This window comes from Homo sapiens, chromosome 5, assembly GCF_000001405.40.
Source record: "Homo sapiens chromosome 5, GRCh38.p14 Primary Assembly".
In the NCBI taxonomy this organism is placed as follows: Eukaryota; Metazoa; Chordata; class Mammalia; order Primates; family Hominidae; genus Homo; species Homo sapiens.
Window position 1 is genome coordinate 181,322,893 of NC_000005.10, and position 13,717 is coordinate 181,336,609.

The window sequence follows — 13,717 nt, forward strand, 5'->3', positions numbered from 1 at the left end:
CTGTCTGTAAATGGTTGTTGCTGTTTTGGTCTTTGAGACAGGGTCTTGCTCTGTCACCAGGCTGGACTGTAGTGGCATAATCATGCCTCACTGCAGCCTTGACCTCCCAGGCTCAAACTTCAGCATTCCGAGTAGCTGGGACTACAAGTGTGCACCACCACCCCCAGCTAACTTTTTTCTTCTTTTGGATAGAGACAGGGTCTCACTCTGTTGTCCAGACCGGTCTCTAGCTCCTGGCCTTAAGCAATCCTCCTGCATTAGCTTCTGAAATTACTGGAATTTCAGGCATGAGCCACCATGCCTGGCCTGGGCTAGTCCCATATTCTCTAGAGTTCTCTTTACTCTGTGCTAGCCAATCTCTCATTATGCTGTTCACCTGTTATAATGAATAATTCTCTGTATTAAATTTTACCACTTTAAACTTTTGAGTGGTTTATGCTTCCTGATTGGACTCTGACTAATATGTTAGGAAGGGTCCCAGGAGGTAAACCCACACAGATGGGATTTGGGCATAGGTTTGGTTTCCCAGGGGGCAGTGCTGAGCTCTTTGCCAGTGGGAAATGGGGTGCTGGTGATTTCCAGTAGGTGACCTCACAGTGACTCAAGCTACCACTTACTGTTGATTGTGACGAAATGCCAGCTGAGGCACATGCCTTGGGAGCTAAGTGGTTGCTGCCCTTGACCACTGTGAAGACTGGTGTGGGAAGGGTCGCTTTGGATGCACTTGAGCAGGGGTCCCCAACCCCTGAGCCATGGAGCCGCAAGGAGCCACACAGCAGGAGGTGAGCGGTGTCGAGTGAGGGAGTGAGGGAAGCTTCGTCTGTATTTAGAGCCACTCCCCTTTGCTCACATTCCCGCCTGAGCTCCACCTTCTCAGATGAGCAGCAGCATTAGATGCTCATAGGAGAACGCACCCTGTTGTGAACCGTGCATGTGAGGGATCGAGGTTGCGCTGTCCTTATGAGAATCTAATACCTATTGATCTGTCACTTTCTCCCATCACGCTCAGGTGGGACCATCCAGTTGCAGGAAAACAAGCTTAACACGCCCACTAATTCTACATTATGGTGAGTTCTATAATTATTTTATTATATATTACAGTGTAATAATGGAAATAAAGTGCCTAATAAATGCAAATGTGCTTACATCTTTTGGCCCAGCTCCTACCTCCCGGCAGCCTCTCCAGGCCCAGAACTTTCTCCAGTCAGCCTCTACAGACCAAGCTCATGACTCACAATGGCCTATTTAGGCCCATACCCTACGTCACGGCAGCCTCCGCAGATGAGGCTACTGCCTCACAACAGCCTCCACAGGCACAGCTCCATCGTTACAATGGCCTCTTTAGACCCAGCTCCTGCCTCCCAGCCTTCTCTCCAGGCCCTGAACTTTCTCAAGTCGACCTCACCAGGCCCAGCTCATGCTTCTTTGCAGCCTCTCCAGGCCCAGCTCCTGCATCTTGGTGGCCCCTCCAGGCCCAGCCTCTGCCTCCCGTCAGCCTCTACAGTCCCAACGTCTGCCTCACAGCAGATTCTTCACGCCCAGCATCTACCTCACTGTGGACCCCCCAAGCCAAGCTCCCAACCTTTCAGCAGCTTCTACACACCCAGCTCCTGCCACCCAGTGGCCTCTTTAGGCCAAGCTCATGCTTCACAAGGGCCTTTCCAGGCCCAACTTTTGTCTCATGGCAACCTTCCCTGGCCAGATTCCTGCCTGTCTCCCAGCAGCCTAGACAGGCCCAGGTCTTGCCTCACACTGGCCTCTCTACATCCAGCTTATGCCTCACGGTGGCCTCTCCAGGCCCAACTCCTGTCCCAGGACGTCATCTCCGGGCCCAAAACTTACTCAAGTTAGACTCTCTAGTCCCAACTGCTGCCTCCTGGTGGCCTATGAAGGCCCAAAATCTCCTCAAGTTGACCTGTCCAGGCCCAGCTCCTGCCTCCTGTCAGCGTCTACAGGCCCAACCTCTGCCTCATGGGGGCTTCTCCAGGCCCACCTCTTCCTCTTGGCTGGGTCTACAGGCACAACTGCTGCCTCACAACAGCCTTTTTTGGCCCAGTTCCTGTCCAGCTCATGGCGGCCAATGTAGGCCCAAAACTTCCTCAAGTCAAACTCTCCAGGCCCACCTTCTGCTTCCCGGTGGCATCAACAGGCCCAGCTTTGACTTGAGAACAGCCTCTGCAGGCCCTGCTCTTGCCTCCCAGGGGCTTTTTCCAGGCCCAGCTCTTGCCTCATGGCAGCTGCCCCAGGCCAAATTTCTGCCTGCCTGCCAGCAGCCTCAACAGGCACAGCTCCTCCCTCACAGTGGCCCATTTAGGCCCAACTCATGACTGTGAGGCCATTTCCAGGCCTAGTGCCTGCCTCGTGGCTGACTCTTGAAGCCCAAAACTTCCTCAAATCAGGCTTTTGCCCAACTTCTGTCTACTGTCGGACTCTACAGGTCAGCCTCTGCCTCACAGTGGACCCTCCAGACCCAGATGGTGTCTCACTGTGGCATCCTCAGGCGAAGCTCCTGCCTTTCGGCAGCCTCTCCAGGCCCAGCTCCTCCTGCCTCCCAGTGGCCTCTTTCGGCCCAGCCCAGCTCATGCCTCCCGGCGGCCTTCCCAAGCCCCGCTTTTGACTTTCGGTGGCCTCTGCAGGCCTCGACAAGGCCCAGCCTCCTGCCTCCCGAAGGCCTGCACAGGCCCAGCCTCTGCCTCACAGCGGACTCTCCACGCCCAGCTAGCTGTTGCTTCACTGCGGCCTCCCGAGTCCAAAGCTCCTGCCTCTCGGCCGCTTCGGCAGGCCCAGCTCCCGCCTGCCAGTGGCCTCTTCAGGCCCATGGGGCTCATTCCTGACAACGGCCTTTCCAGGCCCAGTTTTTCCCTTCCGGCGGCCTCTCCGGGCCCAGAACCTCCTCAAGTCGGCCTCTCCAGACCCACTTGCACCCTCCGGGCGTTCTCTCCGGGCCCAGCTCTTCTTCCTGGTTGGGTCTCCAGGCCCGATTCCTGCCTCTCAACAACCTCTTTGGACTCAGTGCCTACCCATCTCCTGGCGGCCTTGGTCGGCCCACAGCTTCCTCAAGCCAAGCTCCCCAGGCCCAGGTCAGGCCTCACGGTGGCCTCTCCAGGATGAGCTCCTGCCCTCCGATGGCATCTCCAGGCCCCAAATGGTCTCCGGTCGGTGGGCTCCTCCACGCCAAGGTTGGGCCTCCCGGCGACCGCCGCAGGCCCAAGTTGTCCTGAAGTCGGGCTCTCCCGGCCCTGCCTCCCAGCAAGTAAGCAAGCTCTTTTGGCTCAACTCCTGCCCAGCTCCCAACCGCCTTTGTAGGCCCCGAACTTTCTCCAGCCAAGCTCTGAGGGCCCACCTCCTGCCTCCTGGTGGCCTGTACAGTTCTAGCACTGGTTGGAGAACAGCCTCTGCAGGCCCCTCCCTTGCCTCCCAGGGGCCTCTCCAGGCCCAGCTCTTGCCCCCACGGCGGCCTCCCGGGGCCAAGTCCCTGCCTGCCTCCCAGCAGCCCGCGTGCGGCCCAGCTCCTCCCTCACGGTGGCCTGTTGATGCCCAACTCATGCCTCTGGCACCCTGCCCAGAGGCGTGAGCCCCTGCCTCACACTGGCTCCTCCCACGCTGAGAGAGGTCAGTGTGAGCCCTTGCCTCACACCGGCCCCTCCCACGCGGACAGAGGTCAGCGTGAGCCCCTTGCCTCACACCGGCCCCTCCCACGCTGAGAGAGGTCAGTGTGAGCCCTTGCCTCACCCCGGCCCCTCCCACGTGGACAGAGGTCAGCGTGAGCCCCTTGTCTCACACCGGCCCCTCCCACGCTGAGAGAGGTCAGTGTGAGCCCTTGCCTCACACCGGCCCCTCCCACGCGGACAGAGGTCAGCGTGACCCCCTGCCTCAACAGGCCACCGTGAGGGAGGAACAGGATCGCACTCGGGCTGCTGGGAGGTAGGCAGGGACTTGGGCCTGGGAGGTCGCGGTGGGGCGAGAGCTGGGCCTGGAGACTCCCCTGGGAGGCAACAGCGGGGTCTGCAGACGCCCTTCTCCAGCCGGAGCTGGGACTGTTCAGTCACTGGGAGAAGGGATGTGGGTCTGAAGAGCTTGGTTGCAGAAACTTCGGGGTCTACAAACGCAGGCGGGAGCTGAGCCAAAAGAGCTTGTTTGCTGGGAGGTGGGAGATGCAGCCAGGAGGAACAGCTGGGCAATGCGGGAGGCAGAGGCCAGGCCTCCTTAAGTTGGCCTCTCAGACCCACTTGCAGCCTCCCGGCGCCCCCTCCGGGCCCAGCTCTTCCTCCCGGCTGCATCTCCAGGCCGGACTCTGGCCCGACTCCAGGTCCCAACAACGTCTTTGGACTCAGCTCCTGCCCAGCTCCCAGCGGCCCTGGTAGGCCCACAACTTCCCTAAGCCAAGCTCCCCAGGCCCAGCTCAGGCCTCGCGGTGGCCTCTCCAGGCTCAGCTCCTGGCCCTCCGATGACATCTGCAGGCCCCAAATGGCCTCCGGTCGGTGGGCTCCTCTAGGCCCAGCTTGGGCCTCCCGGCGGCCTCCGCAGGCCCAAATCGTCCCGAAGTCAGTCTCTCCAGGCTTAGCTCCAGCCTCCCGGCGGCCTCTGCAGGCCCAAGTCGTCCTCAAGTCGGCCTGGAAGTGGGCCTGGAAGAGCAGCAAGTCGGCCTCCCTGGGCCCAGCTCCGTCCTCTCGACGGCCTCTCCAGGTGCAAAACTTCCTCGAGTCAGCCTCTCCAGGCCCAGCTCCTCCTGCCTCCCAGTGGCCTCTTTCGGCCCAGCCCAGCTCATGGCTCTCGGCGGCCTTCCCAGGCCCCGCTTTTGACTTTTGGCAGCCTCTTCAGGCGCAGAACTTGATCTCCAGTCGGCCTTTGCAGGCCCGGCCTCCTGCCTCTCGAAGGCCTGCACGGGCCCGGCCTCGGCCTCGGCCTCACAGCAGACTCTCCACGCCCAGCTAGCTCTCGCCTCACTGCGGCCTCCCCAGTCCAAAGCTCCTGCCTTTCGGCCACTTCGGCAGGTCCAGCTCCTGCCTGCCAGTGGCCTCTTTAGGCCCAGCTCATTCCTCACGTCGGCCATTCCAGGCCCCGTTTTTCCCTTCCGGCAGCCTCTTGGCCTCTAATTTGTTTATCTTTTGTGTATAAATCCCAAAATATTGAATTTTGGAATATTTCCACCATTATGTAAATATTTTGATAGGTAATTTATTTGGAGTGAGTTTCTGCGCCAAGCCCGAATTTTTTATTTTATTTTCCTTATTATTTGGTGTTAAACAGGTTTAATGACGGTCATGGCAACTTTTTGGCACAATGAAAAATATCGCCCACGATCAACGTGTTCTGTTCTGGGGAAGGGGGCAAAGGCAGGGTGAATCACTTTCTTAAAAAGTATAGCTCAAGTTGGGAGTGCAGAGGGAATGGGGAGAAAACCCTCCCGCTGCCTGTGTCGAAGTGCAGGAGCCCCCACCCCCATACTCACCTGAGTCCAGCCCCTCTGGGGAAAGAAGGGGTGCATGAACTCCCCCTAGTCCACAGGCGCCTCCCTGTGGCCCAAGGCCCTCTTCACACTCCATCTTGTAGCCCCAGCAGGAGCTATTTTCCGAAAAGTGAAAAGCTCTGAAGGTCCCACAATTCATGGTATGTACAGGGGCTCGGAGGAGGGAAACTGCCCAGCTTTCCCCCGGCACAGCTGCAGGGGTAGGGGGTATAGATAAGAGGAGCAGGCCTTGGCCAGGCGTGGTGGCTCACGCCTGTAATCCCAGCACTTTGGGAGGGGGAGGCAGGCAGATCACGATGTCAGGAGATCGAAATCAGCCTGGCCAAGATGATGAAGCCCCGTCTGTACTAAAAATAGAAAAATTAGCCGGACGTGGTAGCGTCCACCTGTAATCCTAGCTACCCGGAAGGCTGAGGCAGGAGAATGGCGTGAACCCGGCGGGAAGAGGTTGCAGTGAGCCAAGATCGCACCACTGCACTCCAGCCTGGGCGACAGAGCAAGACTCGGTCTCAAAAAAAAAAAAAAAAAAAAAAAAAGGAAGGCCTTACTCCGTCCCAAACTGAAAGGATTAAATGGCTTCACCTGGGAGAAGATAACCATCCTGCCCTCCATTGCTACCCCCACATACTGTCCATGTTCTCAGGGGGTACTGTGAGTCCTGGGATCTTTGGGGTTGCCCACCTGCCTGTGGTAGTTATGGAGACCCCCAGGTGTTGAGGCAGGGCTGGGGTGTCCCCTTCCAACCAGGCTGTCAAGGCCCCAACTCTGGGGCAGAGGCAGTGGCAGGGCAGCCAGGGTTGTGCCAGAGCCTGAGCAGGTTGAGGTGGGGTCAGGCAGGGCTGGGAGTCAGGGCAGGGGCAGCAGCAGTGGACCTGCTATGCACACATCTTCTTCTCCAAGGTTTGTGTGCAGAACATCCTGCCCATGCTGCCCTAGCAGCTTCAGTTGGCACCTGCCTCAGTCCAGCCTCTGGGAACCATGCAGCAGCTCCCAGCGGCCCTGCACCCACCACCAGCATCCGTTTCACCTGCAGTTGAAGATCCGTGAGGTGCCCAGAAGATCATGCAGTCATCAGTCCCACGGAGCAGCCTGCGAGGCTGAGGCTCCTCCCACTGGACCGCCCCCCAACTGGCACCACTGCTGCCCCTGCCCCTACTCTCAGCCTCACGTGACTCTCGGGCAGAAGCAGTGGTGGGGCAGCCAGGGCAGCGTCAAGAGTCTGAGCCAGGTGAGGTGCGGTCAGGACCCCCACAGGGCTGGGAGTCAGGGCAGGGGCAGAACAAACCTTGGAGGGGAAGATGTGTGCATAGTGGGCCTGGAGGGCGGCTGTGGCCTAGTGGACAGGAAGAAGCAGTGGGCCTGGAAGAGCTGCATGATCAGGGCCGGCACTGGTCCAGGGTACGTGCAGTGAAGAGGACAGCGCCTTCTCGGTCTCCGGTTCCCTGAGCCTGTCCTCGGCTTCTCCACCTGTACAGGCAAAGGGGAAGCTGTCCCCATCACACATGGCACACTTGGGGGTGTTGGGCTTTGGACTGCAGCTGGAGCATCTTCTCATCTTGCATTTGGGCGCGGTGGGGTCCTCCAGTGTGGGATCCATGTCCGTGGGGTTCCCTCTGCCCCGACCCCGAAAGCCCAGTCAGTTTCTCTTCAGGCTCTGCCCCCCGGGTGGCTCAGCCCAGCTCCTGCCTAGGAAAGCCTTAGTGTTGGGAGGGACCCTGATGACTGAGGAGCCTGGTAGCTCCAGGTCGCCCACACTTTCAGGTCTCTTGCACCAGAAGGTGGCAGGATCCATTGGGAGGAAACAGGCCACCTTGGAAGGCGTCCCTGGGCCCCCATCCCCAGGGGTTGGGGCCGTAGGGGGCCCGCTCTGCTGCGTTGACCAGACTCCTGGGCTTTGAAGGCTCCTGGGCCCAGTAAGAAGGAGGTGGGTGCCAAGGTTGAGGAGGAAGCATCCGAGTACGTGTAGGAGGAGGACAGGGTGTGACCATAGACTGCCAAAAGCTGCAGGTGGATCGGGGGACCCTGGGGGCTCAGGATCCAGCAAGGGGCGGCAGGAGTAAAGGAGGAAGGAATGACAGGTGCAAATACCTTCCCACCAAAGCCCTTGTTGCCCTCTGGCTCCTCCCCAGAGTTGTCCCCACTCTCAGTCGGTCACCCACTCCTTGAACTTGAGATCGGTGTCGGTGGTGCTAAAGCCATCATCAGCAATGACATCATCACCCCCTCCTCCTCATGGATGACCGTGTGCTCTTCGTCACTCGCTATGACCTCGCTGGCCATGTGCTGGGAATGAGCAGCTCACGTGGGCGGCAGCAGGGCTGCCCACGGGTCACCTCCCTCACCAGGGGCTGCAAAGTGGCCTGGAGCTCCATGCTGAGTAGAAGGCTTTGGGCCAGAGTATGATGCAGTGCCAGACACCACCTGTGTCAGTTCCCGTAGTGCCTGACGGTCTATTTCCCTGCCGTCCAGGCTGTGTACCCCGCTGTGGGAGAAGGCTTGGGCCAGGCTGAGCCAGGTTCCCTGACTGTGTGCAGCCGTTCTGCCCCACAGAAGCTGCTCCTTGGTATCCGAGCTCTGGAGTGTTTGGGCTGCAACTGACAGGAGTTCAGAGGACACCCCAGGGGCAGTGGCCGTGCCCGTCTCTGATATGCTCCGCTCCCACGAGCCCTTGTTACACTCCTGCTAGCCCCTGGCTTGTGGGCTTGGCCTCTGAGCTGGACTTCTTTCGGTCCTTGTTGCAAGTGGGCCACCTTCACCTGGAAGGCCAGGTTGTATTTCTGCATCTCATTGGGCCCCAGGGTGTACCACCGCTCGCTCAGCATCTGGCTGACGGTCCGGTTATCCTGGTTGGGGTGACCCTGGTGCGCCCCGCCAGGGCCTGGTGCCGCCTGCTGAAGATCATGAGCGCCACTCATGGGCCACCGGATGTGGTCCTTGTCTGATTTGTTGGGGCTGCGTCCATCCTTCTCAGAAGATGAGTCCTGTTCCTTGCGCAGGGCACTGAGGGACTGGGCCTGACATCATCTGAGTGGTAGAGGCAACTGGGTGTCAGGAGACATGATGGAGAGGAAAGCATCATCATGGTCATTCTCTGTCTCACTGTCCAGCAGGGACTCCCCTGAGGGGCCCAGGGCTCCTCCTCCATGGTGGGAGGTGAGCTTTTACCAGGTTCCACCACCCCCAAAGTGTGTGGGGTTGCGGGCCCTGGGCTTTCAGGGCAGGTGGCTCCAGGGGGCCGCCCAGGGTCAACACTCCCTGTCCCACCTGGTGGACGCTCATGAGCAACGGCTGCCAACTTGGCAGGTTGTTTTCTCTGGTTGGAGGCCACTGAGTGACTGGCAGGTTGCTGGGCCTCGTGTGGCTGCAGGGAGGGGTCAGGAAGGGGATGGAGTACCAGGAGAACACGGCCGCAGAGTGACCTTCCACATTCCTCCACACGAACATGCTGACGCCACGGGAGGCCTCACTGAACGCAGGCCTGGGGGCCGAGCACTTGGTCCGGGCAGGGGGTTCCTGGCAGGGGCTCACACCTCCTCGCCCCCTCCTCAGCCAAGGTGGCTTGGGCCCAGAGAAGGGGAGGTTGGAGAGGAGCAGAAGGCCAGGCCTCAAGTTTTGTTTTTTTTGTTTGTTTTGTTTTTTGTTTTTGAAATGTAGTTTGACTCTTGTCACCCAGGCTGGAGTGCAGTGGCACGATCTCAGTGGCCTTCATACCTGGCTAATTTTTTGTATTTTTACTGGAGGTGGGGTTTTGCCATGTTGGCCAGGCTGGTCTTGACCTCCCGACCTCAGGTGATCCACCCACCTCAGCCTCCCAAAATGGGATTACAGGCATGAGCTACCGCTCCCAACTTCATTCATTTTTACTTGAAAAACTCCGTTAAGCATTTTTTTAAGGTAGACCTAGTGGTCCTGAATGCCCTCAGCTTTGTTTGTCGAGGAAACACGTTATTTCTTTTTCCTTTCTGAAGGACAGCTTTGTCAGACATAGTATTAGTTGCTGGCAGTTTTTTTCTTTCAGCACTTTGAATGTATTATTCGATTCTGTCCTGACCTGCAAAGTTTCTTTAACTTTTGACTATTTGATTATATTGTGACTTGGTGAGTATCTATTTGGTTTGAACCTCTTTAGGAATCTTTAAGCTTCATGGATTTAGATGTCTAAATCTTTCCCATGATTTAGGCAGTTGTCAGCCATTCTTTAAATAAGCTTTATTCTCCTTTCTCTACTTTCCTTCTCAAACTCCCATAACCTGACAATGGTTTGCTTAATGGTGTCTTGTTGGCTTTCTTTTCTCTGTCTCTTTTTTTTTTCTTTTTGAGACAGAGTCATGCTCTGTCACCCAGGCTGGAGTGTAATGTGTGGTCTCGGCTCACATTGCACTCCAACCTCCGCCTCCTGGGTTCAAGCGATTCTCCTGCCTCAGCCTCCTAAGTAGCTGGGACTACAGGTGTGTGCCACCACACCCGGCTAATTTTTGTATTTTTAGTAGAGATGGGGCTTTGTCATGTTGGACAGGCTGGTCTTGAACTCCTGACCTCTTAATCTGCCTGCCTCGGCCTCCCAAAGTGTTGGGATTACAGGCTTGAGCCACCACACCCAGCCTTCTTTTCTCTCTTTTATTCTTTTTTTCTCTGTCCTCTGACTGGATAATTTCGGAAGATCTATATTCAAGTTTACAGATTCTCTCTCCTGTTGAAGTTGACTATTGTGTTATATCACCCAGTCTGGTCTTGAACTCCTGGGCTCAAGCGATCCTCCCACCTTGGCCTCCCAAAGTGCTGAGTTTACAAGCATGAGCCACTGCATCCAGTCAGTCCCAGCACTTTGGGAAGCTGAGGTGGGAGGATCACTTGAGCTCAGGAGTTTGAGACCAGCCTGGGCAACGTACTGAGAACTTGTCTCTATATTAAAAAAAAAAAAAAAAAGTCTTTGGGAGGCCAAAGCGGGAGGATCACCTGAGGTCAGGAGTTCGAGACCAGCCTGGCCATCATGGCAAAACCCCATCTCTACTAAAAATACAAAAATTAGCCAGGTGTGGTGGCACACGCCTGTAGTGGTGGTGCATGCCTATAGTCCCAGCTACTCAAGAGGCTGAGGCAGGAGAATCACTTGAACTGGGAGAGGGAGGTTGCAGTGAGCTGAGATCGCACCAGTGCACTCCAGCCTGGGCAACAGAGTGAGACTCCATCTTATAAAAGGAAAAAAGAAAGAAAAGAAAAATTCCATATCTGAGTGTTTACTCCTGAGTTTTTGAGATTGTTATTAAGATCGTGCTCTACTGTGATGATTTGGGTTTGTTTGATAATCAGAAAAAAAGCGTATTCTTTTAGGTGTTCAGCCACACTGCTTTGGTGTCACAACTGCACATTGGTTTCACAGCTGCAGGACAAGTTCGAGCATCTTAAAATGATTCAACAGGAGGAGATAAGGAAGCTCGAGGAAGAGAAAAAACAACTGGAAGGAGAAATCATAGATTTTTATAAAATGAAAGCTGCCTCTGAAGCACTGCAGACTCAGCTGAGCACCGATACAAAGAAAGACAAACATCGTAAGAAGCAATAGTTTCTCTTACTATTCTGAGAGCCTTATCATTCTACATCCCATCTTCCTGTGAGTTTGTCTTTGTAGCATTTAACTCTAATTGCAGTTCTCATTTTAAAAACTGGCTTGCTTATTGTATATTTTCCCCAACTAAAGCGTGAACTCCTAGCAGGGCGTGGTGGCTCATGCCTGTAATCTCAGCACTGTGGGAGGCCGAGGTGGGTCGACTACCTGAGGTTAGGAGTTCGAGACCAGCCTGACCAACATGATGAAACGCTGTCTCTACTAAAAATACAAAAATTAGCTAGGCGTGGTGGCTGGGACCTGTAATCCCAGCTACTTGGGAGGCTGAGGCAGGAGAATCACTTGAACCCTGGAGGTGGAGGTTGCAGTGAGCAGAGATCTCACCATTACACTCCAGCCTGGGTGACAAGAGCAAAACTGCATCTCAAAAAAAAAAAAAAAAAGGGGGTGAACTTGAAGGCAGGTCCTGTGTCCATCTTTTCAGATTCTGTATCCCAGCACTTAGGACATAGACAAACACGAAGATGACAATCAATATTTGCCAAAATGAAAAAACAAAAGAAACATGTAACATCATGTAAAAGAAGCTGGTTAGGTGGAGAAATTTATTTACCATAGTCTTGCTTGTGGATCCAGTAGTGACTTTTACAGTTTGTATCTAAATAGAAGCTGGAGGCTTTGTTGGGGACTCATAGGCATAAAATATTATTTATTATAGAGTTAAATGCTACAAAGACAAATCTAATTAATAGGCCTATTTTCCTTTTTAAATTCTACTCATAATTTCTTCATAGTTTTTATGATAAAAGGTTGGATTTTGATTAGAACTCCCATGATTTTGTGTCAGAATTAAAACTGGTATTAGAATAAATAATTCAAAAGCTAGAGAAAGAGTACAAAGAGAAGCCATGAGTTGCATTTGAATTATAATATTATGTCTTACAGATTTGGGGTATATGCTAAAGTTACCAAAGTTGTAGAAAATAAGGCCGGGCATTGTGGCTCACATCTGTAATTCCAGCACTTTGGGAGGCCGAGGTGGGCGGATCATTTGAGGTCAGGAGTTCGAGACCAGCCTGGCCAACATGGTGAAACTCCGTCTGTACTAATAGTACAAAAATTAGCCAGGCGTGATGGTGTGCACCTGTAGTCCTTGCTACTCAGAAAGCTGAGGCAGGAGAATCGCTTGTACCCAGGAGGCAGAGGTTGCAGTGAGCAGAGATTGTGCCACTGCACTCCAGCCTGGGTGACAGAGTGCTATGAGTCACCACACCTGGTATGAGCCACCGTGCCTGGCCCACAATGACTTTTACACATGTTGTTAAATCATCTTACAGATTTTATAATTTGGGGGAAGAAAAGTTTTACTAAATGGTCTTTTAATGGAAACTCTACAAGAACCAGAATCTTTGCTTTGTTCACTTATGTATCCATTCCTAGGCCTAGAAAAATGTCTGACACATAGCGGCAATTATTCATTGAATAAATGGACCCAGCGATAGTACATTAGCTATGCTATATGCATACATTAAAGATGTAGATTATCGACTTTCAAAAGATAATTAATGTAACTTCTTACTGCTTCTGAACATGTTTGTGAGTTATATTGCTGAGGGACCTTTATCTTCTCATTCTTTCATCTTAACCCAGTGTTATAAAATTGAAATCACCAATATTATTCCATATCTAAAATTAATATCTACCTTGTAAAAAATATCACTCTGCTGCATTTGAGAATAGACTTTTTAGGTAATAATGATGCAATCCATAGGGTTTTTGGGGGCACAGAGGGATTCATGCTAACAGAACATTTTATTTTCTATTTTCCCAGAGCTGTAAAACATGAAATTACGGTAGTATAAGGCATATTTTTACTCTTTTTATAATTTTTTCTAAAAAAAATTAGTGTTTGTTCCCTATATAACTTTTAACTTTATAGGTAAATATTTGTTTCTTTCAGCTCCAGTTTTATGTGAAATAGAGTTTTCAGATTTATGTAGCATGGAAAGTTTTAATACGTCAGAGTTACTGATTTTTGCCAATCATTTTCTCAATTATTTCTTTTTTATCTTTAGTTGATTTTTTTGTAGTGACACATTTTGTTTCTAGTCTCATTTCCTTTTGTTTATATTCTATATATATTTCATTTTTGGTTACTATGAGAATTACATATAACATCCTAGAGTTATAACATTTTAATTTGAATTTATTTCAACTTAAGTTCAATCACATACCAAAATTCTACTGCTATATATATAGCTCTACTCTTTTTATGTTATTGATGTGACAAATTATATCTTTATTCATTGTATACCAGCTAACAGATTTACAATTACATTTTATGCATTTGCCTTTTAAATTATGTAGAAAATAAAAAGCAGAGTTACAAACCAAAATTACAATAGGACTGTTTTTATGTTTATGTATTTACCTTTACCAGAGAGCTTTGTATATTCATACAGCTTGCTTATTTACTTACATAGTTATTGCCTAGAGTTCATTTATTTCAACCTGAAGGACTTAACACTTCCTGAATGTCAAATTCAGGGATAAATGGATTTTTTTCAGTTTTAAAAAAAAATCCGGAAATGTCTTAATTTCTCCTTCATTTTTGAAGGATAAGTTTTCCAGCTATATATTTCTCAATTGACAGGTTTCTTCATTATTTTAAATATATAATC

The 13,717-nt window shown here is 52.5% G+C and overlaps 1 long non-coding RNA gene and 2 pseudogenes across 1 annotated transcript; 2 read left to right on the plus strand and 1 right to left on the minus strand.

Annotated features, from left to right (window-relative positions):
- The first annotated feature begins 613 nt into the window (after positions 1 to 613).
- LOC100132062 (uncharacterized) lies at positions 614 to 5,303 on the plus strand. Its single transcript, NR_028325.1, has 3 exons — positions 614 to 782; positions 1,010 to 1,067; positions 1,161 to 5,303. It is a non-coding gene; the product is annotated as an uncharacterized LOC100132062 (long non-coding RNA).
- Positions 5,240 to 9,004, minus strand: CICP15 (capicua transcriptional repressor pseudogene 15; annotated as a pseudogene).
- SEPTIN14P5 (septin 14 pseudogene 5) lies at positions 10,849 to 13,432 on the plus strand (annotated as a pseudogene).